Raw genomic sequence first — 27829 nt, 5'->3', positions numbered from 1 at the left:
AGCCTGCTTATCAGTTGTGAGAGGTTTTCATCCTTCATTAATATGTAGTTCAGTTGGACATCAGAAAAACTGGCCCCCATGGGAATATTCTCCGAATCTCCCATTATCTCATTTTCCATAAACTTGGCTTGACCCACTTTTTATCTACATTCGCAGAAAGATCTGGCTTTTCACATATGAGCTTTCTAAACAATCAGCTAGCCGTGAACCTGCGTCTCCAAAGCTCCATGCAGTGTCAGCTGCTGTAAATTTGGACAAGTGTGTACACCAATCAAATATTAGTTTAAATATTCCAGACTAAATATTTTAAAAGTAGACAAAATAAATATCCCAAATTGCTAAGCTGTGAGTTTTCCATTCTGTGGCTTGTGCCCTCATGTGCTTACTGTGCAAGGCTCTCAGTTGGGGCTACACACCTTTAATGTATTCAGGCATCTAAGAGAGCCACACAACAACTCCAGATTTGTTGCACATCAGGCTGAGCTCTCTACTGAGTCTAAACTTACCCACAGAAAGATTGGGAGCAATGCTTTTAAAATTCCATTAGTGAAACAAGAACCGTTTTCTTCTATCCTGGCCAGACATGATCCAGGTGGCTAAAAGAATTGTTGTTTGCGACCAATTTTCTTTTGTTCTGGGGCTTGCGAGGGAATGTCTAAGTGGGACACAATTCTTTGCAGCCTCTGCTCTCTTTCTTTGCTCTCATAAAGAATATTCTTGTCCCTGAGTTTATAATTGAAGTTCACTAAAAATGACTCTTTACAATTATAATAGGAGGGATAAATGGGTTTATCTTTCCACTTCATCCTCATTATGGCTCAAAACAAATATCCAGTGTGGTCAATTGTAGATAAGTAACAAGAAAAACACAGCTGTTCAAGTAAAACACAGTTTCCAGGTACTACAATAATGGTTAATATATATGATGGTGCTCACTACTCCCAGGCTCTGTGCTGAGTGCTTCACTCATACCATGTCATTTAATTCTTACAATTAAATGTAAGTACTATTTCACTTAGATGACATCCTAACAAGTACTGTTATTCTACCCATTTTACAGTTGAGTCCACTGAGGAAGGAAAAAGTTAGTTTCACTTGACTAAGTTCCCACATGGATTAAGCAGCAGACCCAAGACCAAGACCAGAACGCAATCCACTCTTTGATGAGAACATACTTGGATATGACCTATGCTATTTTGAATGAAATTTAGCAAGGAAGAACTGTCCATCAATCATTTTAACCAAGTTCACCTTTTGTTGCCATTTAAGTTTAATTTTGTCCCAGGAAATTCATAGTGAGTGATTGTGATTACATTTTCCTCATTTTCATGCCTCTGACATTCTTGTTGAAGATGCTAATCTTGTATAAAGCTGTCTTTGGAGTTGATGATGCTGACACTTCTCACTCCTATGGGAAATGGAGAGATGTGGTGCATAAAATAGAATAAAATGTATTAGAGCAAAATAAAACTGCTAATAAGAGTAATCACTGTAATAGATTTTAAAATCATTTTAAATCTAGTTTTAATTACCTAAATCCATCTCAGAATTACTACTGATGTGATGAGAAATTCATAAATTCTGTGCAAATTGAAAACAGAAATTACATTGTTTATTAAAATACTACTTTACTACCCCATCTCTATATTATCATATATGTAAATTTACGCATGTATACATAAATTATACATTTATACATATAAACTTGAATTTATCAGAACTACTCAATTTCATCTCCTGGTTAATAATTTAGTATGCATTAACCTTCAGTATTCACATCAAGATACATTCTCCTCTCAAACATGATAAAACGAAAGCGTTCTAAGATTATACAGAGTGTGTTTTCTAAACAAAATTCGCTTCTCGTTTTAGAAAGTTGATGTCATCAAGGCATCACCATCAAATTTAACTTCTCTACTTTTCTTTAGATAAAAATAGAGAAGAAAGCTTTCTAAGTGTGTCAGTCTAAGAAAAACTTTAATTAGAATCTCTGGCTGTTGTTTAGGTTGCATTCTACAACTTATTTCAGCTTGACAGTAGGCAGGAGACTTCCCCTTCAATTTTAGGTCGAAGCCAGAATAAAAAGTGCTTTAGAAAAAGAAAAAACTGGTTTCTGTTCTCCTAATTCCCTTCTGCCCATAAAACGAATCTATGCAGGATATTTGCAATAGCATCTCAAACCCACCTGGCTCTTCTGTATTTCTTACTTGAAGACATCAGATGGCTGACTCCACAGGAGCCTGTGGTGGATCAGAGTGGAAAACTGCAACCTGAGAGGATTGAGGGAAACCTTACAGAGCCCCTGGGGTAGTGGTCAGGTTGGAGGTTTCACATACTCTAAATGAGAGTTGTCTTTATTTTGCTGCTCAAATCTGGTGGGCTTTCTTGCCAATGAGTTTGCTATGGACTCAAAACATTGTTATTTTGCCTGAACAATCTCTGTGGTTAATGGTTGTTGTTAGATATTGCATGAACCTTGGGTTTGAAACTCAAGATAGACTCCTGTGGATTCTCAATTTTCCTTTTAGTTAAGAGTAGAAGACCTTCAATTTATCCAGAAATGTGGTTGAGCTGTCAAAATGCCTGGTCTGAAAATGGATAGGCCTATGGCCAGGAACTTGCTGACAAGGAAACCTATAGTTGCAGGGCTCAAAACTTCTCAGATGATAGGCTATGGGAAGAAGTCAGAGGGTTCATTCAGAAGCTCCAGCTACAGATAGAAAACGCTACTCACGAAGAGGTAGCTCAACCTCCTAACTGATGTCATTGTCTCCACTGGAGTAATCGTCCTCAAATGCAGTATCAATCACGCTACTCCCTTGCTGAAGATATTCAGTAACCAGACCCACTCTTAACACATTGCAGGGCCTGGGGCAAGAGTACAGATGGATACCCACAACATAGAGTTAAATCTATACAAACTATAAATCAATATAACAAGCTGATAAACAGAATATGTCCCCCTTCTGTGAAAAATATGCCTCCATACTGAAAAAATCTCAACATACATGTAAAGCTATGCTTGTTGCAGGAATGTGGTTAGGGACAAAGTAAAAATAACTAAACTGTATTATTGTACATTTCTGAGTATTCTTTTTAGAGTCTGATGATGTTAAAATGAAAAGTAAGTCACAAAAATGTATTTGTGATTATATATTCTGTAATATCAATTTTAGAAAAATTACTAATTATGTCATGTTGAAGATGTGTATATAATTAATGTTCTAGAGATAATAACGATATAAAAGATTGAAAGTATTCAAAGTATACAAAACTGGAATATATTTTCATTGAAGATGTAAATTAAATGTAAAAAAGTTATTGTTCATATTTTCAAAATCTTTTCTTTCAAAATATTCAAAATTGCCTATAAAATTAAAAGGCAAAAGACAAATCATTATAAATCAAAATATTAAATAAAATATTTCAAAGTAAAGTTTAAATTTTTATAATGTTTAAGAATTAAATCTTTTGATATAAATAAAGCCATTTTATCATTCAACATAAAATTATGTAGTTTTATGTATATATATATTTATGCATATATTGCATGTGTATGTGTAGGGATATATATATATAGAGAGAGAAAGAAATATTTTGAGTAATTATAAATATTTAACAGTGTAAAATATTTCTTAATCTTCATATGCAAAGTTTGGAAATACCACCCTAATTCTTGTCTCCTTTTTTCTACAAACTAGAACGTGAAGGGAAACAAGTAAATGGACCTCTTTTTGTCCTGTTTGGAAATTGTTCTTAGTTACGCAAGAATGCTCTTCAGGCATGTTATCTGAGAACTGGTGATCAGTTAATATAAATATTTTAAAATTTTAAATTCTCTCCACTTTTTCCCTCTTACGTTCTTCCTATTTTCGAAGCAGTGTCCATTTCCAGGGCTGGCAGTGGCATATCCATAGACCCTCACAGCGTGCGGACCTCATTCCCTCTATACACAGTGCCAGAGATGTAGAGAAGTGTTTGCCCGGGGACTAAATGTTAGTCACAAAAGCTGATGCTTGAAATGATGTGTTGAACTGGGCCAGCAATAAGTACTAAAACCTGAGTACAGATAGAAGTGGCCTTGTATTCTTTCATAACATTTTCTCCTCTTGAGACTATGAAATGCAGGCCTTCTTAAGCATGAGTCCCAGAGCAAGGGCCCCTGGAGCATGAGGCTAAGAGCAATTATGTCAATAGCTACCCTAGTCTTTACTATAAAACCCATATATTTTAAACACAACATAGAAAGTAAGACTCAATGGACAAACTCTCTCTCTCTCTTTTTTTTTTCCATTTGATGCTTTCCTCATTCTCACACCTTCTCTCTAGCAAAAGGGAAGTGCTTTTATTATTATCCTTGCTTTCTCTTACATTTGGTGCTTTGAAAACATTCATTCCTTTGCTTTGAAACCCTTTCGCCTCACCCCTCCCTGATGGATTGGTCATTAAAGACTCAAATCAGACATCACACATTACTGTTTCTGGGAAGCTTCCCTCTCTGACCAACCTGGATTAGGGTTCCTTCAGGATACTCCTACAGCACCCTCTGAGCCTCCTTCCACCACAGAATTACACTCAGTTGTAGTGTTCTGCCTACTAATAAGAAAACCTCTTCTAATTATGAGCCTGTTAAGGGCAGAAGCTGAATTTTATTTGATGTTTGTCATCCCTCCACCTAGTACATTGCCAGCTGATACATCATTGATGGTTCGTAATAATCTGATAAAAGAATAAACTATTAAATAAGCAAAGGCACTTAACTGCGTCAGATTGTCACCAATATACAGATGTTATCAACTCTGTCTATATTCATCTGTTTGTCTCCAGAGAGCAAAACGCACTTGCTATGGAGTAGCACCTATGCCCTGATCAAATCCAACCAAGGCCCTGGGATGTCCCTCTAGAACACACAGAAATCCTCAGACACATATCTTGTTCAAGCTCTTCATGGGCCATCAACAAATACACTCCCCTCAATATACATAGACCTCCTTTCAAATAAAAGCCTAGCTGGATGGCATCAAGTCTTGCATATATTCGACTTACTCCTTATAAGCCTCAATTTCTTCCTTTTGTCACCACGTGGTGTGTGAAAAGACAGCTGATGCTGGCATTCCATGCAGAGTTTTCAAAAAGGTCAACTAGCATTCAGATTTCTGCTGGTGAAATTCATTCCTTCTCTTTCAAAAATTTAATGAGAAAGGACAGCTTTGTGAAATGGAGGAGCAAGAACAATATTGCTTAAATAAATTGGAATTTGCACTTTGATTACCCTGCAGTTTCTGCCATACTTTGCTGGAAATGCTCCCTGTGGTGCAGGTTTTCTCTGGAGTGACATCACCTTATGAAGCCATCCTCCATATAATTATTTCCATCCATATTTGTAGAGGACATAGCAAGAACGTTCAGCCAAGAATACTTGATACATATAGAAAAATTTAAAACTGTGGAGTCACCAGAAGCCCCATTAAAAGGCAAATGATAGATATTAATGCATGCCTCTGACTCCAAAGGAGGTATTTCATATTCATATTAGAAAAAAAGTCTCTTTCAAACAATGAGACTCTGGTAACAGCAAATATCCTATGCCGTGAAATAACAAACAGCATGCATAGTTTCCGCTGCTTTTCTTGGAATAACACTTATAAAAGGTGCAGCATAAAGGCAGTAGGCATATTTTAGTCCACATCATCAAATTTAAATCCTTGTGGAACTTAGGCTCTGTCAATGCTAATACCAAGTATTGAGATTTTAAAATTTTATTTTGGCTACCCTTGTTTCCCCTTTTGATGAACTTGATTATTCATTTTAGACTATGGGTTTTTTAATCCATTTTAATAAAAGCAAAAACACTAATACATAAAAGTATTAATTTTCTCACATATCAAAATAGATCACTGAAAGACAGGATTTTTTTTTTTGATGATTTAAATAAAATTTTAAATGTGAAAGCTGTGGATGGGCTTTCCTGACAATTTGTGATTTACTCAGGCTGACTTTACCCATGGGGGAGACTGCAGCCTCCCACTGCTGTGAGTTAAAGGGCATGAGCAGGCTCTTTGTCTCTTGGAAAATAAAAGCTTCTACCATCTGCTCATTGAGGCTTTGATTTTGTTTTAAATGTAGAAAAACATGCATTTAACACTGCAGTTAGCGATAAGGTTCAAACTCATTCATTCATGCATTCATTCATTCAACACAACCACTCAGGGAAAGAAAAGGGTATTGGATATGAGATTAAATTCCTCACTTAATAAAACAGAAATGTAATTTTTTTTCTTTATAACCACTGTTTTCAAATCAGCTCCAAAAAATCAATCTTGCTTCCTTGTCCATTAATGTGATCTCAGTCAGATTCCATGATTTTTCAACTATAATCATTTGTGCAAAAGTCCCAGCTGACTTCACTCAGTTTAAAATTTAAGTCTACAAGCTCTATAAGTCTCTTTTGCTTTCCCTTGTCCAACATGATTCTCAACCTTGACAACCACAACTGCCTTCTCTCTCCTCTCTCTTCTCTCTTCTGGGCTCTGGCACCTCTGGATTGCAGCCCAGGAGGATGACTAGGACAGAAGGCAACAAGTCCTCTTATGGTGCCACTATCAGTCATCTTCAAGCTATTGCCAAAATCCCATATTGCAGGCAAATCAATACTTTTCCTTTCGGGTGAGGGGAGAACACTGTGCCCTTCCAAAGGCCCTGCAGAGGTATTGTTGCCTATGTGGCCCATGGGCATCAGTATCACCTTTTCCCACCACCCTTCCTTGGCTCAGAACCTGCCATAATACACTCTCAGTATCTTAAAACTGTGGTCTCCTCACGGGGCAGGCTGACCACCTGCCTTCACAGTTCTCCCTGATGTCCTCCAACTCCCAGGGACACACATCAGATTCTCTCAAGCATGAGCTTCAATGACGTCTATTTCAGCTGCTCAAAGATCTTATTTTTATACATATATATACATTCTTAGATGCACAGTTTTATTCTGAATGATAACATATTTAATAAAATCTCAAATGTGAAATGGGGTCAACATTTGCATATCTATATAAACAATAGGTCCTGGCCTGTATTGTATCACGTAGCCATCTAAACCAAAGGGCAAATACCCACCTACCTCCCCCCAGTTTATGTTGTGGAGAAACTGCCATTACAGCCAGATTTGTCTGGATGTGAGACACTCTTGGGGCTGAGCTTTCACGGTTTATAGTGTGCTTTCATTTTCACGTGGCATTAATCAAGTTGACCTTCTATGATAACGCTGTCAAGAGCTGTCAGATACATATATTTTCACTTTTCTCACATTTCTCGTTACCTCACTTGAAATTTGTAACAGTAAGTGGTAGCAACTTGTTCCAATTCTCAAAATTGGAAACTAAGTTCTGACCTCACTGGTAGGAGAATGAAATATCTCTTTTAAAATATTTTACATTTTCTGTTGTATCTAAAGAGTGACTCGCCCAACTCTGTAAGGAAAGCAAGGTCACTTTGCCCTCACGGTGATGTTTTCTACTCACTAGCATTAAGCCAAAGAGAAACTTGTCACCCTTTAGAGGTCACTATCAGAAACCAGAAATGCTGACTGTCATGGAAAACTCTATTGCTGGGATTTGAGTAATGGGTTATCCCAGTTGTGAAATAAAGCTCTGTTTGCCAGAAAAGAAACCATTACATTAAACGAGACTGCCTTGCTCAATACTTTCAGTATAGCAGGAACATTAGGCTATTGAGGTTAAAGATGTATGTTTCATACCATCACAAGAATAAGAGCCCTTACTGGCCTGTTTGAACAGAAGGGGTATTAAATAAGTCACTCACACCTTCAGCCTTCATGAATCTTAGGCTTCGTCTGCACATGTTTAAAGAAACTTAACACTTCTTTAATTATACATTGTAAATCATATTGACCAGGAGGCAAGTAAGACATAGATTGTGGGTTAGTGTTTTTCAAATTTGGTTTAAATCATTACACTTTCTTCATTTTTCAATGGGCATTACAGCCACACTCATAATCCATCCTTAGATCTCACTAAATAGGCCTCTTCACTAATGCAAAAATATTCAAATGTTGAGCTTTTAAAATATTTCCTGTGAAGTTATAAATGTTAATCTACAGCTTTCAGAAATTCTCATACATTTCCAATGTAAATTTATAACTTGCCACCACAAAAAAAGAAAACAAAAACTTTTAACCGTTACCATCTTAGAAATGAAGGTGGAAGAATTTATCATAAACCTAGTATTAGCTAAACACTTGTAATTATGCACGTGTACAGAAATATGTCCTTCTCGAATAACAGGGCATAATTTTACATAAAAATACCTCTGTGGCTGATTCTTTAAGATTCATTGATTACTCAATGAATGTTTCCAGCAAGTTTACCTGAAAATGCTGGTAGAGTCAGTTAACAAAGGAGACACAGGGCAGAGAAACAGCTGAGTTGCTCACTATCAGGGAGAACTGGACCTAGCCCGGGGTCAGAATCACTTCCAAACTATACAAATTCTGATCATTTTCCTTGGTTCCAAAAATACTCTCCATACTTTTTTCACTTTTTTAAATGATAATTTCACTTTTATTCTCTTTATATTTAGCTTCAACTTTCGTTTAACTGGTCATGAACTAAAGGAAAAACAAAAAGATTTCACGTGGTTGATAATACATTCTATATGCTAGAAAAAAACCAAAGGTATATTTATGGTTATGATAGTAAAGGCTAATTCAAAAATTTATTGATTATCCTTTCTGTGCATATTTACATTAAACTGCAATTTGATTCCAGTCCAGCCATACTTAAATTCCAGATACATTATGCTCACATATCAATGAATAGATCAAAAAACTGAACAAAGTTTGATTTTTAATACAAGAAGAGCTTATAAGGTACATAGGCATTGTCAAATGAAAGTATAAACAATTCATAAAGGTGTTAGTGATTCTACTTTGTCTACCTTAATCTTCAGCTCTGGAATTCATGGAGTGAAATTACTAATTGAGATGATCACATATTACCTTAACACGTTGTTCAAGGTGGGGCATCCATTAATTTGCTGTGGCACCAGTGTTCTGTGGTTACACTGCTAAAATGATTTTTGTTTTCCTGAAATAGCATCCCTGTCTATTTCTGGCAAGCCCACTTTTAAAGCAGGGTCCAGTGGCTAATCAGTGTTAATACCTTGTGTAGAGACAATAAAAAAACCTCTGAAATGGGATTGTAGGTAAGGTAAAACTGTTTTACATGTCTAGATGCTGCCTCCTTGATAAGGAAACCAACACTAAGAAGTCATAGAAATGTGCCTCCCTGAGAAGTGTTTCTTGTGTGTGCAAGATTAGGCAATTCTCTATTGATTAATTTCCTCAGTAAAATAAAGTTGCTGACTTTGAAATGCCATAAGCAATATCCTTTTCACTTAATCATTTATTTATTAATTTATTAGGCATTTATTCTGTGCCTACTAAGCGCCAGCCCATATACAGCATTAAATGTTAGGAGTTTATTTCAATCTATAGCTATACCCATGTATCTGAAAGAGACAGAAGACCAGAAGATTCATCTAATATTTGATGCATTTTATCAGGCTTCAGGAGCACAGCGGGGAACCAAGGTCTTTGGTGACTGACTGCATGTATAATGAGCAGGGCAGCAAGGTTAAAAAGACAGCCACACAGCTACAATGAATTCAGCAAACTACATCTCACTAACACATTTGGTTTAAAAAAAATTTTTTTATGAATTCTGAGCTACCTTGAATCAGTACCAGGCTCCTTCTAATTACTAACAATGACAAGTCTGCCCTCTCAGTTGAAGCTGGATGCCCCAGGCATCTTTATAGCAAAACCAACAAATGATTGGAATACTGTGATTTAAACTCAAAACCAAAGCACAGTTGGAGATTTTTTACAAGGCTGCTGTCTTATATCTAGGGTTTGTGAGATCATAGAGGATGCAGAAGGACAACCCAAGGTCAAATCTACATCTCATATACAAAAAATAAACTGGTTCCCTAATCCATTTGCCGTAGCTCACAATCTAGAGAATAATACAGGATGAATAGTAGGGTCTCTTGCACAAAGACCACGCTAGTGACCTCCAGTGCCCTGCTATGAATAATGGCCATTATTAGGGGGAGGCGGTGGCGGCAGCAGCAATATACTACTGTCTGTCCCCTGAGCCAAACTGGGGAAAGTGCAGAGAGAGCAGCCCTGCAGATATATGGTACACTAATTATTTCTGTGATATAATTCTTGGGGGCATCTATTCATTTTAACAGCTAAAATAGTCCTCCAAGAATAAAGAGGCACCTTGCCATCAACCATCTCTGACGTAGTCTTTCTTTGTTGTTGTTTTTTCAAAATTGATAAATCGGTATCCATCCTGGTCCTACAGGATCAGAAAAAAGGATTCACCAATATGCAGCTTCTTGGAGGAGGTTCCCTTCCACTCTGGGTGATAACACATATGGCAGGCTATGACTCCGTGTGATGGTCTGGGAATCACTGCAGCCCAGCATTTTTCAGCTGTTCATTATTCTTTATATTTAACCCTGAGGGACTCTCTTTAACAAGTTCATGGGGTGACCACAATCAAAGGGCCAGAGGTTTATTCTCTTGCATGGTATAGTATTTGTAGAGTTGATACAGGTGATGTTTTTTCTGAGGAGGCAAGGGTGGGACAAGAGAAAGTAGAATATGTTTTGGTTTTGTGTTTTTTATTCCACACTGAGCACTTGGAAGGTAAAATATCATTGTAATTATTCTCTCTCTTTTTTAAATCCACGGAGTCAAAAATATTATAGTATACCTGCACTGAATTCCATCTGCTTGGCATTCAAACATTTATAATAACATGACTAAAATAAAATATCAACATGACTTAACTATATTGATTATATATTTAATCAATATAAATGAATGATACTTTGTGACGTGCTCTGCTCTGTCAACTACGTAGTCATGTTGACAGTCACAAGAAATATTAGAGGGTGGATACTCAGCTACTTTAGTAATTAATGTGGCTCGAACAGCTCTGATGTGTGTCCATTCTTTTTTCTGCCTCACCACGGGACTTTAGTGTAGATTTTTTTCAAGGCTGTGACATTCAGTCCTAACGGCAATGCCTGCTCACAGGTGAGCAGTTGGTAGGAATGCTAACAAAGTAGAAATAGCAAAACTATGGGTTTTCTCTGCATTGTGAAAGAAGGCTTTTAGCTTATCCTACATGAATCTCTTTACACAGTCTGCACTATCATTCCAACCCAGGCTTCAATTATTTATCTAAAATATTGGCATTTCAAGTTATATTTTACAAAACCCAGGACTTCACAAGGCCTCTACTTGGAAGTCTGGATAGCATATCGAGAACACAGTAGATTTATATCTATTATACCAATTCTAAAGTCTGGCTCCTGTCATCAAACAACAATTCAGATTCCGGACCAGAAAAAAAAAATGGAGAAGGCTTCCAAAGCCTAAAATGATTTAAGAATGACAATAAATGTAATAGAGAAGTATCTCTATATGATTTAAGAAAAACTTGACCTTGAAAGGAACTGCAAAATAGAAATTTGTCTTTAGAATATTCCCCACCTGCACATACATACTTCCCTTGCTATGCATACTCCAATGTCAACCACTCAGTTTGCATTTAAAAGTGAGTGACATCAGCTATAAAGATGGGGATGGGGCAGGTGTTCAGGCAAATATGTCTACTCTGCAAAGCTTAAACTGTAGCATGCAATAACAACATGCCTCATGAATACTCCGTGACATCCAGCTCATTGGCATCCAGCTACTACTAGGACTCCTGTCTCACGGGAAACTTATCTCACATGTGCACATGCTCTCAGGATGCTGAGGTATGCTGTTAACATGTGCCTAAATTGTGACTTCATTACATTAAGTTAGTCAATAAAAACAGATGATGATTTGTGACGCGCTCTGCTAGGTATTGCAGAAGATTCAGAAAAACAAATTTCATGGTCCCTGTGGTTGAGTATTTTCTATTTGAGGAATTAAATGCATGCAAAATGGTAAATAAAATAAAGGTCAAATATGGTCTATATCACAATGCAAAAGATGCCACACAGGTATATATAATAAACTGGTACCAAGCAATGGCTTTCATTTCAGATGTTATAGGATTCATGTCTCTCTCTTGGCTGGGAGGTGTGCCACTAGCAATAATTTATAAATAGTAAAGTATTTGAGATTGTGGATTATTTCTATTTTACCAATTATAATGATTCAAGGTAATCTTTATAAGGATGCCACTCTGTTTACTTATTTTCTCATGTGATGACTTACGGAGGAGGGAAAGAGAAAGCCCCAGGTGTTCACATAAACTTGGCCACCATTCTTACTGCTGTGTTTGAAATTGCACCACCTCCGCCTACTACTCTCTAGCCATTGCTTTGTTTTTTCCAATGGCATTTACATCTTTCTAACATCAACATAATTTCCTTATTTATTAAGTTTATTTCTAATTGCCTTTTTCCATCTGCTAAAATGGAAGCACCAAAAAGCCAGGAACTTTATTTATATTGTTTAGTAATGTATCTCAAGCCCCTAGAAGAGCATGTGGCACATAGTAAACATTCAGTAAGTGGGTGCTGTTATTATTGTTGATGCTGCACACACAGAGAAATGTTTACTGGTATGAAAGTGTCCGGGATCTTTTTCTACACATTAAAAAGATGGAGAACCACTAGTACAGGCAATAGAGCTATAAACTCACAGTACTGCAGAAATACTTTGTTCTACCAAAATGGTTGAATTTGAAATGAGCCACGCACTTCCTAAGAGCAGTCTAATATACAAAGTTTAATTTTAACATAATTGAAAATATATATTCCTCACTTATTCTCTGTCACACCCTGATATGATCACATTCTGAAATGGTCTCATTTATTCATTGTCTGTCTGTCTTTCCCATGAAATATGGGCTTCAGGACGGTAGGTAGCTTCTCTGCCTCATTCACTGCTCTGTCCCCATCCTCACAGTAGGCCCTCCTGCAATGCAGGCACACCCCCTTCCTTGTGGCAATGCTTTCTCCTCCAGTTTTCACATCTAACAACCTCCAAAATATGTGGAAGCAACGTTATTATGTTTCTAATAGTTCAGCAGATTTTAACTTTAAAAAAAAATGAGATTCATAAAATAGGACAGTTATCTTTGTTTTTTCCTATTTCTGCTTTTCTTTTAAAAGGCTTATTGAGGCACTATCATCAAAGTATTCATTGACTAAAATCAGTGTGATGTCCCAACATCTAAGGGTAAAAACAAGGACAGAAAACAGGTGGAAAAAAAAGAATGGCAGTTGATGGGAATGCAGCCTAGACTGAAATACAGATGTGCTGAGGGTGGGTGTGTGGAGAGACTGCACCAAAAAGAGAACTAATGATTGACAAATTCTGAGCACCAGAAGAATCACAAGTGAAAGGTGGAAAGCAGGTCTTGTTGACATGTGAAGAGTAGGAAGAAAGGAGCTGAGCTGAACATATTTTTTAATGAAATGTTAAGTAGATCACCAACAGAGGTGGATAATGACTGTGATGAAGAGTTGGCCAGGGTGTGAAAGAAAAAAGAGAAAGAAAAATTAAGTGACGCTTGGTAGATCACAGGAGGATGTAAAACCAGAGAGAACCTCTGGAAAGAACGGTCAAACCCTTGTAATACTCCAGTGCCTTTTAGTAATCGAGTTGGGCAGCTCATTAAAATTATGTGTGAAAGGAAAGGTACATTAGAAAAAAAGGCCAGGAAGCCAAGAAATAACTAGAGCAATATAATTACTATTTCTATAGTTGGAAAAAATCAGAAATAATACAAAGCGTTCAAGGAGACACATTTAGGAAATGTCCCCTGGAAAACAGTGAATGGATCCTAGGGAAATAACAGGAGGAATAAAACTGGCCACAGGAGGGATGAGTCATGCCAAGAAAGAGGAATCTTTAAAACCGGATGTGTCTGTATAAAGTAGCTCAGCTACCAGTGAGGGAATTTAAGAAGATATTGAAGAGCAATATGAATAATTGGGAGGATAAGATTTTTAGCTCCTCTCTGCGTATGGACAGACTAAATTTAGAATTATCATATATATATATATATATATATATATATATATATATATATATATATATATATATCTCAAAACGAGGGAGCTGCTTGCGTCTGGCAAAGGCCTCCAGTGTTTTCTAAATAAAGGTGATAAGTTGGGCTGCAATATATGAAACGGTAACATTAGTTCTCTGGATACACATGGAAGGGATTGGAATTAACATGTACATAGTGCCTATTTTGTGCTGGATACTATGCTTGATATTTCAACATACATGAGCATATTTGCTTCTCACAACAAAGCTGTCACATGAAAGTCATTATCACAGCTTTTAGTTCAAGGAAACTGAGATCACATAGCTCTTAAATAGTGGAGCCCAGGATTTAAATCTAAGATTGGATGACTCCAAAGCCAGAAACCACCAAGATGCTTCCTATATTAAAGGAAGTTGATGATAAAATATCAGAATATTAAAGAGAAAAATCACTAAAGCAGATGAATGTTGTGTTTGACATGCATATTCACACTCAGATTCAGAGGGCAAACTTGGATCATTTGATTTATCCTCCTTAGGCTTCAGCATTGCTAAGGTCTGCTACTTTGTGAGACCAACACCTATTTATAACAAAATAATCTTGTTTAATCAATGGTACAACGTGAGTGAAAAACAATCTTTGGCTCCCCTTACCATTTTTTACTAGGCATGACAAGATTCCTCAAACTTTCCTCTTGGGGCTGGAGTAAGGGTGGGTGAGCCCCAGGATTTAGCCATGCATTCATTCATTTTCTTATTAGCAACCATTTATTGAGTGCTTAATATATATATGAACCAGGCCCTTGGTTTAAATAAGTAAAATGATACAGTCCTCTCCATACAGAATGTACAATCTATTACTTCATAAAAACCAATAAATGGATAACTATAGGTGAGTGCAGTAGATACTATAAAGGTAAAACCAAGGTCTTACGGGAACACATTAAAGTGATACCTCATTTTGACATAGTACTTCAGGGAAAGTACTATGACACAGTACTTCTACATCAAGAGGAAGAAGAGAAGAGAGCTATAAGCTTTCTGAGCAGAAGGAAGAGCCTTCTCAAACTGATTTAAAAAAAAAAAACAGAGGGAAGAAAAGGGCACTCACCAAATGACTCACAGTTCTTGGACAATGACCACACATCAGGCCAATAAAGTAGGATAAATTTGTTTTTCTTTGGTCCCCATGCAACGGCTTGGCCATTCTATGACTAGGGCTGCCCTTGGTCAACATATGCCCCAAGCTGCCTCTGGCCATCAGAGCCTTTTGCTATGATCTTCTCTGTGTATCCTCTGGCATTCTCAAGACCATTTCAGTGAAATTGAAGTTTACATATAAAAACAGACTGCATAGAGAAAATCGCCTGCTGTCAGAATTAGTCTGGAAAATCACTTAGAATGTCTCTATTTTAGATATCTCAAGGTTTAATACAGTCAGTTTTTTCACCAGTAGTGGAAAAGATAACTTATTTATATTCAAGACAGATAATTGGCTTATAAGATTCAGGCCAACCATATTGTGGGGTGAACAGATCCCCTTCCTTCAAAGATATTACATTCTGAGAAGTGTCTACAGCAAATGAGGTGTCTACATGACAAGAGGCTGAGAGAATGGCAGATACAAGTTCCTTTTGGCATACTTACTCTTTATTATTGTAAATTTTTGGCTGAATGGTGAATACATGGCTCCTGCCTGGAAGCAAGCAGGATGCTCCCTTGTCTACCTGGGGCTCAAATGCACTATACAAGGTTAAACTACAAGTGACCCAGATGGAGGGAAGATCTAGAGAAAATAAATAGCATTACCTTGACATTAAAAGGGAAATTTCTCTGGGTCTGTAAGAACTGTCAGTGTCATCAAGTCACCTAATCTAGGCAGCTATGACACAGACAGAAAATCACCCCAACTCACACTTGCCATTAGTATACTGGCCAGTTTACCCTGCCTCTCTGCTTTCAGAATCGGAATGTGTTCAACATCACATGACTTTTACTCCAGCACCACGATTATAAGGAATATTTGACAACAGACCTTCGAGCATTTAGAACGTATCTATTGTGTGCTGATTGTGACATGTTTGGGAAGTGGGAGTAAATATTAATGAAACACATTTCCTTTATCCTCCAGTCTAGTGGAAGAGCAAGCAATACACAAGAAATTAGAACACCATCAGTGCAAGTATAGGGCTCTACAGGAACACAAAGGGATGGGTCTTACCTTGAGCCAGGCTCAGAAGAGGGAGGCAATTCTTTCAAAATGCAGGGAGCTGCATGAGTCTGTAGCATGAATAGCAGTTTTTGTTTGACAAGTGTTGATGATGAAGTGAATAGAAGATGCCTGTGTGCCCTGAATACATACTATATTTTCAGGAAAAATAAAATGTAGGTATGATCCACAAAGAAGAGTCTGCACCTCTGATGAGAATCTACAGAGCAGCTGAAAGCTCAATCCTGCCTGAAAGAAAAAGAAAACAGAAAAATTGACAGCCCTCAATGGCATCTCAATCCCTTGCTGGAGTAACGTTTGTGTGAAATATCAAATACTTTGAAAACCTTATAGGAAATAGTATGCTAAATGTGTCTGCAAATCACTGGCAATATCACAAGCATACATTTACATGCAACTTTTAAACAAGATCTTCCAAACACTCATGGACACGTTTGGACTACTGACAACACAGCATCAGCAAAAGGTTGAGCAGCAAGCACCCTTGGTTCAGTTAAGTAACTAGTCATTGATCAGTAATTTTGTCACTGAGGCACACGTTATTCAGACGAAAACAAAAACAGCACTGGAATTATTGGGAATTTTCAATAATCAAAGAAAATATTAAAAGCAGCATATTTTTCAGTCCACACAAAAACATCTCTTGGCCACCAAAGCATATAAATGGGGTATAATACCCAGGAAAACAGGGCTGAGAATATAGATTTTCTCCATAGTTCCTTTTGTTAGGTTTAATTGTATTTAGTAACTCAGTGTATCATTCATTAGATGTACTACTAGTTGGACTATCTTTTTTTTTAAGCTTCTTGCTTGCTAATTGTGATCCATGCCGAATTTCTTGGAAGTGATTTTTTAATTTTAGATTCAGGGGATCCGTGTGTAGGTTTGTTACATGGATACGTTGCATAATGGTGAGGTTTGGGTTTCCAGTATCGGATTACTGTTTTCACTTCAATACCATCATCATCAAGAAGGCAAATGTGTGTGTCAAGTCCTAGTAAACAATTATTTCTATCCCCAATATTAGAAGCACAAAAAGAGGAAAGAAATAGTGCAAAGAAATAGACACAAATGGTAGTAATTTCATTTTCTATACTTCACATTATTGAATCATTTCAGAAGATGTGCCTCCATAAAACCCTTATCAGAATCATATGCCCGCCTGCGGCGAAAATACCGATCCATATTCAAACTTCCTATAGTCACATCCAACTTGAAAAATATTCAATGTGCAGTTGTCCTTATCATTTTACCAAGTCATTTAAAGACAAAACACTTGTCAGGTGCTGCCCCAAATGATACTGTTTAAACACCCACTAGCAACATCCATTAATATATTTTTTGCCTTACAGATTTCTAAATGTTTGTTTCAAAATAGTAGGGGAGAATAAGTACTCCCATTGTATTCAGTAGAAAGTTTTATTCAATGGGAAGCAATAAAATATAATGAAACAAAGCACCTATGATTCAGAATGAGAAAGACCTGCTTTTGAATCTTGGCTTTGTCATTTACTAGTTGTATGACCTTGGGAAAATTGTTTAACATCTCTGAACCCCAGCTCCCTGAGCTCTAAAACAGAGGTATTAGTAGCTACCTAATTAGGTAGTTGTATTAATAAAGACATCACATGTAAAACATACTGTACTGCTTGGCTCACTTCAGAGACTCAGTAATAGCTACTATCATGATTTCTTGTTATTAATACTAAAACGGCTTTTATTGACTTCTGATTTCATTGTTAGTGCTTTTCTAAATGTGCCCTTCAGGAGAAAGATCACGGGTTCTGGACTAGTAAAACCTGTGTTTGAATACTGAATGTTCTGTGGAATGCAGGAAAGGCCACTTAACCTCTGAACCAGAGCTTCTTCCAATGAAAAATTTGAGTATTAATGCCTACCTTGCCAGATTATTACAAAGATTGAATGAAGTCATCTTCAGGACACAGAGTAGACATTCAGTGACTAGTAACTTCTAGTATTAATATTATTGCAATAACAGTAATTGAAAAACAAGGAATCATCTGATTTATACATCTTGAAGTAAAATAATACCATCTTTTCAGGGATGGAAAACAGGGTTGTCTCCAGCTGCCAACCACGCTGGTTAGTGATGCCATAGCACGTTCTATGAGAAGGACTACAGTATTTACTGAAGCCACGTATGCATGCAATGTTGATGAATACAGAAATTAGGATGCCCAATACGTAACAATTATTATATTTAAATATCCTGAGATATCTGCACAAAGCCACTTGCAAATGCAAAATAGTCTACAAATACTATTTATTTTACAAACTGGGAGTATAAAGCAACTGTCTTATTTTCATGAGTAAGGCATTGGAAGAAACAGTATTACACGTGGGGAAGCAAGAAAAAAAAAAAAAGGCCAATCCCTTCACCCTATTTTTCCACAAAGCAGTTCTTTGGCAAAGCATTGTCCCAATTTGTCAGCATCCAAACATTCTAAGTTAACTTGTTTCCATTTATTCAAATCAGTGGTAGTGACTATTACAGACGAAGTGAAGGATAGAGACCTTAAGATAACAAAGGTTTCTCAAAGGTGATTCTAAAATGTCCCTGTATATTACAATTGCTTTAACACAAGATGTATAAAAAATAAGAGGAGCATTCCATTTAAGAACCAATTATTTAGAAGCCAAAGGAACAGGCCGGAGAAAATTTGCTTTAATCAACTGGTTTTATTTCCTAGAACTGAAACATTCTATGGTTGGTTCTCAGATCAAACTTCCGAAACTGCAGTCAACAATTTTTCATCAGAGCCCAAGGGAGAGGGGAAGGGGTGAAAGAGACAATAGATGGAGAAAGGCATAATGACCATTAGGAAGAGGGTGGGAGGAGACACATCTTCCTCTGTTATCAGTGAGCTACATACTAGACCTGTTGATGGGACCAGGTGATGGTACCTGAATGGAAAATGACACTGTGACGAACAGCAAAGCCTGACTACAAGTCATAAAACTTCAAACAGAAAGGGAGCCTTCCAGTTTGTCTCAGCAATGGAACAGCAATGGGAAAGCTAGGGCCAGCGTGGAGGCACACCTAGAGGTAGTTCTTAAAAATTCTTCTTGGAACTTCCTTTTATTAAAAAGATTTTATAAAATATGTGTCTTTTCTTCTACGCCTGAGTGATATATATGACGGTAGGGTGGCCTTGAGGCTGTGGGGAGAGAAAGCGGCAGCCAAGGATCTTCCCAGGGCATCCCATCAGTGGCCCCAGAGATCTAAATGGGACAGATATTTCTCACGGTCCCCAACCAGGATATTGGGCAAAGTTAAGTTTTCAGATCTCACAAACAACTTGGAAGCCCCCAAACGTTTTGATGAAAAACGGCAACTCCCAGAACTTCCTGGGTCAGCAAAAGGATTTGTGGAAGGCGGGGGGCATTCCCCACATGCTGCCCCTTTTCCCTAAATGTCTGAAGCTGGCAGGTATGGCAGGCATGGACAGGAGCTCAGGAAGATGTCGCTCTCCTGCCCGCTAACTACCACAGCTTGAAGACTGCTCATCCCAGGCCCTGCAAGTGCCCTCTGCTCTTTATCTGCCAGGCCTTTCACTCCTACCCATATTCCTAAGCAGAGGTTCATAATGCCTGGGGAAGCAGGAGGGGTGGAGAGGGGTGTCTAGAGGTGAAAACAGCCTGCCTGAACCCCAAGTCGGAAACGGAATCAGGCAACGAGTGGGCGGGGGTGGGGTGGGGTGGGGTGGCGGGTAGAGGGGGGAGAAGAGGGAGCCGGAAGCTGGGATGGTGGCCTCACTTTATCCCAGGGAGGGAACTGAGGCCCTGACTCAGATCACAGAGGCGTGGGGGCACAGAGGTGAGAGTCAGGTGGCCTGCCATCCTGGGGCCCGGCAGGGCAAAGGAGCGCGGGTTGGAGGAGGACGGGCTGAGGAGAGGGAAAGGCAGTCCCAGTTTGCACGCCGTGGTCAGATTCCCCAAGAACGGCCAGGCCGCAGCAGGAACGGGGCAGGGGCTCTTCTGGAAACGCTGGTAACTACAGGCTGTCGCGATCTCCGCCGCCCGGTGCCTCGGCATGCCACTCCTGGGAGGCCTCCTCGTCCGCGACTTCTTCCTCCCGGAGCTCCTCCTCCTCTGGCTGAGGCGGCTCGCAGACCAGGCCCGGCTCGCTAGGGGCGCTGCCGTTCTCCACCGCCACGAGGAACGGACTCTCCTCGTCGACGGCCGTCGCCGCCGCCGCCGCCGCCGCCCTCTCCGCTTCCGCCGCCCTCTCCGCCTCCGCCTCCTCCTCTTGGTCGGGGGCTGCCTCCTTGGGTCGTTTGGGGGCGTCCTCCGGCGGGTCCCCCGCGCTCCTCTTCAGCGGCCCCTTCTCCTCCTCAGTGGGCTTGTCGTCGTCCGGCTTCCCCAATTCGTCGCCGCCGCCACCAGCGTGGGTCGGCTTGTCCTCGTCGCCCTCTGCGGCCTCGGGCTCCGGCCAAGGCCCGTCTCCGCTGCCCTTCTCTGAGGCTAATGGGCAGTCGGAGGCCTGGACCGTGGGGTTGTTCTCGATTTCCCACAGCCCCGCGCTGAAGCCGCGCCTCTTGTTGGGCTTGCCGAACTTCTCCTTGCACTCCTTGTACGGGAACAGGCGTTTGGGACTCAGGAAGGCCGTCTCGTGGGTCCCGAAGAAAAACACCTGGTAGCGGTTGGGCTGGGTCATGTGCTCTATCCTCGCCGGCCAGTGGGCATAGCCCTTTAACTTGGCAAACACCAGGTCCCCGCTCTTGTACATGGGCATGCCGTAGGCCGACATAGCTGGTTCTGCGGACCCCGCCTGGGCCACACCGGAAGTAGACGCCGAAGTCTGCGCGCGCGCAGTAAGGGCGGCTGCTGGGCGGGAGTTGTTGAGCGACCTGTTCGAGGGGACCGGCGCCACCTAATGGGCGGGCAACGCTCGGGGCCCCGAGAAGATCCACTGCGAAGTGTGCATTATCTCCCGAACACTCGAAGCCCGTTGGACCCACCCTCGGACGCCATGATGTCTAGAATGCTGGAGGAAATAGCTGGGATGGCCGGGTGGCGGTTGTGCTTGTGGTGGCCTTGTGCTACTGATCAATCTCTACGGCACCTGGGCCAGATGGTTGCACAGTTTAAATAAACGGTGCCAGAGCGGCCTAGAAAGGGGGCAGTGTGACAAGAAAACACAGTGACACAATTAGTACATATTTCCATGAAACTAGTAACAGCCCAGTGCAAGCATGCAGTGTCCCTGTAGGCCCCGATCTGCTCACTACAGGAAACTGTACACCTGCGTTAGGAGGAGCTAAAGAGATGGCTGTGTCAGTGGTTTCAACCCTTTTCTGATTTCCTCCGGGACTAGCACTGGAGCCTGCAGTGAGGCTCAAGAACTACGTGAAAGTCTATTAAAGGGTTAGAGTCAGCAGTGTGGTTAGGATGTCTTAAGTCCACATTACTGGCTAACAAAAATGTCAAACATTATTATATCTTTAGGGTCACAAAAAGTATATAGGAACACCACCACCACGGCAAACAGACATCTAAATATTTCCTACTTTCTATGGAAATGTTCACCTTGGATGCCAGACATGAAGTTTAAACTTCGTTGGTGATTGTACCGTATTGTGAAAGATGAGGCTACATGGTTGTAACATTGAGATCACGACACATGTTTTCAGTATCTTTCTAGAAGAGATGAAAATTGGGTTCATTATGCATAAGAATTAGGTAGAGATCTACTCATATCGAACATGCTCTTGGCAACTAGAACTTCCTGTGAGCTACACACTAAAAAAGTATAATCTCAGCTGAGAAACTATTTTAAAAAGAATTTTCTTCAGATATGTCTCTTCTAAACATATGAATGAAAGTGTCAGTGCAATTGCAGTTGTTTACACAACTTTCTGCATCTTTTTTGGATCCTCCTTGCTAGCTGTGAGCAAGCACTCTGAAACCTACCCAAATTTATCATACCGGTACTCTTGACTATTATAACTAGACAGATGTTCCTTCCCAGTGTAACCAACACACTAGACGAGAATTAGAGCCCTTAACCCATTTCAGTAAAACTCAAATTTGTTTCCCATTTGCTGGGCTGGAACAGCCATTTTAACTCTGAATGGTTGAGACATGCTCTAGGCAAAAGGAGATATCCTCTCCCTAACAAGGTGAAATGAACATGAAGCCCTTTGATAATTCTAAAATTCTAAACAAGTTCTTTCAGCTCTTATGTCAAGCCATTTTCTTAGAATGCCTATCTGCCCTGCTAATATCTATTATACCTTTATTAAATAAGTAACATCAACAATGCATCAACACTTCGTTTACAAATCAACATCCTGCTACAAAGATGAATATGACAAGTTCCCTCCTCTCAGTTTTACAGGGAAAGTGCTAGAAAACTAGAAATGTTTAGTGGCTGTAGAAGAAAATAGGAAATAATAGGTAGCTATGGAGCCCATAATAGGAAGGAATTTGGAATTTCTGTAAGCAGAGATATTGCTATATGTGGCCATTATTTTTCAGGTAAGTATGCTGTACCAATGCACATATCATGTATGAAGGTTGCTGAAGTAGGAAAAAAATCTAGCTAGATAGCATGTCTAGAAGAGGTATTTAGTTGTACCATCAGCTCAATCTGAAGGCAGGACCGGTTCTAAAAGCCAGCTGCTGAAGCTGAAGGTGGCAAAGGTGCCTCACTAGAAAAAGCCAACATCAATAGTTGGGTGGTTGAACTACAGCAGGTGAACAAGTATGAGGGTGTGAAGGCAGGACTGGGGATCTAAGGGTTAGAGCAATAACCAAAACCTATGGAAAACTGAGATAAAAAGTATAGCAGGAAGCAAAGGCAAAAAGATCTAGTAGAGAAGGATCTACGTCTGCAAACAACAGTACAGATTCTATTAAGCAAAGAAGTGTTGTTCCCCAAGTAGATCTTGTGCCTCCACCCTTGCCCACTAATATAGTGTGATGCTGAAAGGCTGGCACAAAAGATGTTTACCTTTGAGGAGATTAAAATCTCGTTTAAGAGAAAAAGCCCGGATGAGTTCATTACAGAACAATACAAGCTAGCCTTCAGATGCTAAATTGTGTGTTCTTAAATACCCAAAGAATTCCAGGAGAAATCAATGAGAGTGTGGTTATTAGGGGAGGCCTACGGAAGGGGTAGTAGGAGATAGAATAAAAACAATTCTGGCATTTCTCACTTGTTTGCCAGCTTTGTAAGGCCAGGAGTTAATATAATCTTTGTGAACCTCTGCTACATGATTTCAAGATATTTAACTTAATACTCAGAATTTCTTTCAGGATCATTACAAATATTAATGGGATTATGGACATGAAAGCCCAGAAGATGGCTATGAAGGTCTATGATGTGCCAATAAGTGTGAAGTTGACTTTTATTATGGATTAGGCTATTATTAGCATTAGGCTAATTGAGGAAAAAGATATATCCAAAGGAATAGAGAGTCATGAATAAGGGCACCGAAGAAAAGTCCCCACCAGCTGAATTACATATTATATACAGAATTATATATCCAGCACATCTTTTGTATGAAACTGACATAAAAGTTTTTGTTACTTGGAAATATGATCTTGTAAAACAGTGTTCTCTAATTAAATTTATCACCTAATGGTAGTTTATTCTACCATTAGAAAAGGGAAAATGGGAGGAAGGTTGAGAAGAAGCAACCGTTTAAATAGAGTTTCATGGAGACCACTTTCACAGATACATCCTTTCTTCTATTCCTACATTTTCAAGGATGCAATTAAGTGGAGTGATCTTGGCTTCTTTTACCTTTGAAACCAACTTGCTGTTAAAGCTATCGTTTCTCTTGCTCAAAGTGAGGAGAGTAGAGAGGATACATTCATGATGACTTGGTTTGGTTTAGATTTAGCTAGTATATAAACAAAGTACTCATGAGCCACTGCAATGATTAATTTTCAGTAACTAGAACTCCATGAGTATAACTGTTCTAATAGGTAAGGATGTTTTAAAAATCATGTGTACCGCGAACACCTGTTTGTCAAGAGGACCTAATTTCAGTGGCAGCATACCTATCAAAACAAAACCTTAGAGTCCAAAACATATAACACTTCTCATTCCCCTTTTCTGGAAAACTAATGATAGGATTTAAAAGCTGTTTGGCAACAATTATGAAACATGGGCAATAAAACAACGTAATTATACAAGAGAGAGAATAGATATCTAATTGATGTTTTCTTGTTTAGTTACTTTTAAATTCAATTAGTTTGGTGTAAATTATGATTTAAGAGAAATGTGATTGTTTTCTGTGTGCTTTTGTCTTCATTAAAAATATTAACTGCCTCTGGGTTTATGCAATAGAATGTTTATACATGGTTGGTATTTGAGATCAAGGCTTTTCTTTTTAAAATGTTCTAGCAGACATAATTGTACAGGGTAAGTCCTCCCCTCCACCATGGGTAGAAATTCCCCCACTGTTCTTTTTTAAAAAGTCGCAGGATGTCTGCTACCTCTATATTTTGTCACCTCTACATTTCATCCATGTCCACTTAGCCTAGCCTTTAAAGCCTCAGGGATTTCTGCAATACAGGCAACTGCTCAGAGTGGAAATAAATTCAGTATCAATGAGGATGTTCTAGGAGCCAAAGAGTAATTTAAGGGATGTTCCCAAGGAGCTATATCATCATCAATTTTTAAATATTTTTCATTTTTATTTTTAATTTTTGTGGGTACATATTATCATCATCAATTTGAAGTGAATAAAATCTGAACTTGCCTTTGATAATGGACTTTGAGGAGGGAGACATGAGAGTGCAGATTTTCCAGGTGGTATATGTGTGCAATTGGGCCCCCCTTGGCCAACCATGAATGTGATGACTTGGTTTGGTTGGTGTGTAGGAAGGGGGCCTTTGGAGAGATTGGAATTGTTTGCAAAACTTCTGTTTTATTGGCCATGGAAGGAAAATCGGCACTCCAAGATTAAGAAAAGTGGCTGGTAATGAATAATTCTATTTCATTATTCTTATTTGAGGGCTTAAAGATTCTGAAACTTATTCTTTGGGAAAAAATTTAAATAAAGTGTGTTTAAATAATATGAATACTTTGCTAATTTTGTGTGATGATATTTATTCAAGCCTCCTACATGAAAATGTATGAGTTATTTATATAACTAGCAAAGTTTAAACAAATAATAGTTATCAATGCTGGTGAGTATTCAGTAATTGGGGATTAGATGCAGATAACATCTATTTACATAATAATTACCTGATTAGATGGCCATACTCTGTAAGGTTTTTAAAGCAAAATTTAGTGACTTGGAAAATGCTTGCAATTCGAATAAAGAGACTGGATAAAATATATAGCATATGTAATTTATGCGCTTATATGAAATCATGTTCCTTAAATTTAACATGTGGCTAATTCTAGGACCCATTTGAGAGAAAGGCTATTTGAAATAAACAGGACAGTGGGCGTTAAACGTGATGCTTGCGACTATCAAGTGCTCGATTACTATTAGCTCTTAAAATAGCCAGTACCTGCTCTATTTTCTTAGTTTATTTTTTTTCATTACGTAATATATATTTTTGTTGTTACTATTTTTGCTGTTGTTGTTTTCTACAAATTGTTTCTGGTTCAGAATTTAGCTTGTTTCTCTAATTTTATAATAGGCATATACTTTTTTCTTACTTTTTGGAGGGGCTGTGTTGTTGCATTAAAAGCACAGTTTGAAAGACCCAAGATCAACAAAGTCATGTTTACAAGGAAATATGAAACTCAGTTTTGCAATTTCAATTTTGTATTGCTTGCCATTACATTAAGTTGTCATGTAAATGCTTAAAATGATCAAAGCTTTTAGAAAGCCATGCTCAAGTTTTTGAGGATATAACCTCAAAAACCCAATTGTCTCAATTGTCTCTTACTCTTCCAATGGTTTTCTAGCTTTCGAAATAATTACCAAATTATTAAACTTCAGAAATAAGTAATTTATACTATTTCCATTTAAAGAAATCATCAACAGGTGCATGGTAATGAAAAGGTGGGAATTTTTAACTAAAATGTCTAATTTTGAATTACTGAAAATGATATTTTGAAGATAATTTTTACTAATAATTTTTTTCTATTTTATTATTGGAAATCTCTTAAATTTTTAAGTAACTTTGGCTTAAGGGTATAGGCATTGAGTTGCTAGTTATCTATCTTTACCAAAAGTTTATTGAAGGTAAATGGCTTTCTCTTGTCAAACATTGTGAGGGAAAGGCTGTTTGTAGCTTTCAAAATAGTTTAGGATTGTTCTGTAGTAGGTAGCATGTATATTATTTGTTGAAATAAATACTTTAGGAAGTTTAGTACTTTTATATAAATTCAAAAACTCATACGTAATAGACTAGAGACCAAGTAAAAGAAAATCAGAGAAGTAGAAATTTAAAATAACTGTGCTAAATCATCATTGAGCTCAGTGAAATCCTCAACAACCAATGCCTCTCTCTTTTAGAGTTTGTTCATTTTTCAAATGAACCAATGATGAACACACACTTTTAAGTCCCTTAATAAGATTTTCTAAATAACACAAACAGTGACTTTCTGAACAAATATTGTAACCACTTCTCATTTTGGTCACTCTTGATGGTGAAAAAACTTCTTTCTTAGAAAAACTGTAGTATGTTTGATGCTTGTAAAACTGAAATACTGAAATAAAACATTTTGGATATAGTTTTATAGTCTTTGCTGTTCAACAATCAGACATAACCCATACTCTGTTCCTGCTTCTCAAAGTCTAACCTTAATGAGAATATATCATAATGACTAAAATTACAATAGAGCTGATAATTTTTGACTATCATTTATTAAGCATGTATTATATGTTGCAAACTTATACAAGCATTTTATATCTACTTTCCCAATTAATTCTTGAAACCCTTTGCTATATTGCCTTTGCTCCCCCCATTTTTTTTTGCCCTGCCCACTTATTTATTATAAGCATAATTCATTGAGGAAATACAGCCAACCAGAGACGTTGGTTGAGGGAAGAATGAAGAGAGAAGAGTGAAGCAGATACAAAAAACGTAGAACTGTCAGGAGCTGTAAATTACTATAAGGATCACAAAAGAGAGGAGAAAACTGTCAGTCCCTAGAGCAGCTTTCATTTCCAAAGTTTTTTCAGTTACAATTTGAGTTCAGCATATATACATCTTTACATTAAAAACCTTTTGTCTTAAGATGTGTGAGTGAGCCTCTGTGTCTTAGAATAAAAAGTACCAAGTAGAACAATAATGAAACTGACGATATATGATTGGCATAGGATTTATAAAGGCAAAATGATGTTAACCACACATCAAACAATGTTGATGTAGACATGAAATCTCTCCAATGTAAACACTGTAGATAAAATGTCGAATTCATTTAAAAATGATCAGCCTTTCTTTTTCTCCTAGGCTATTTATAACTGTAATCTGTAACCATGTAAGATAATTTTTTTAAGTTCATAAAGTGACATATATTCTGAGATTTTTTTACCAGCCACCATCTGGTTTCATGATAGCTGACCATGCCT

At 38.3% G+C, this 27829-nt stretch overlaps 1 protein-coding gene and 1 long non-coding RNA gene across 2 annotated transcripts in view, besides 1 other annotated feature; both read right to left on the bottom strand.

Moving 5' to 3' along the window:
- Window positions 1-351: 351 nt before the first annotated feature.
- LOC105374971 (uncharacterized) overlaps window positions 352-27829 on the bottom strand; it is a 241097-nt gene continuing 213619 nt past the window's right edge. Inside the window, exons 6-8 of the long non-coding RNA XR_001744025.1 lie at window positions 16311-16547; window positions 1533-1581; window positions 352-1408 (exon numbers count right to left, since the gene is read on the bottom strand). This is a non-coding gene — a long non-coding RNA (uncharacterized LOC105374971). The remainder of the gene's footprint in view (window positions 1409-1532; window positions 1582-16310; window positions 16548-27829) is intronic.
- Window positions 6459-6659: a silencer, noted in NCBI's record as "peak5731 fragment used in MPRA reporter construct". NCBI's record gives its function as "represses an SCP1 promoter by STARR-seq MPRAs in K562 erythroleukemia cells {active_cell/tissue: K562}" and the evidence as "EXISTENCE:reporter gene assay evidence [ECO:0000049][PMID:32103011]".
- On the bottom strand, window positions 19000-21100 carry HDGFL1 (HDGF like 1). Its single transcript, NM_138574.4, has one exon. The coding sequence runs from the start codon at window positions 21088-21090 to the stop codon at window positions 20335-20337; it is 756 nt and encodes a 251-aa protein (NP_612641.2). The 5' UTR covers window positions 21091-21100; the 3' UTR covers window positions 19000-20334.

This window comes from Homo sapiens, chromosome 6, assembly GCF_000001405.40.
Source record: "Homo sapiens chromosome 6, GRCh38.p14 Primary Assembly".
Taxonomy (NCBI): domain Eukaryota; kingdom Metazoa; phylum Chordata; class Mammalia; order Primates; family Hominidae; genus Homo; species Homo sapiens.
Note: the sequence above shows the minus strand (reverse complement) of the source record. Positions and strands in the feature narration are given on the sequence as shown.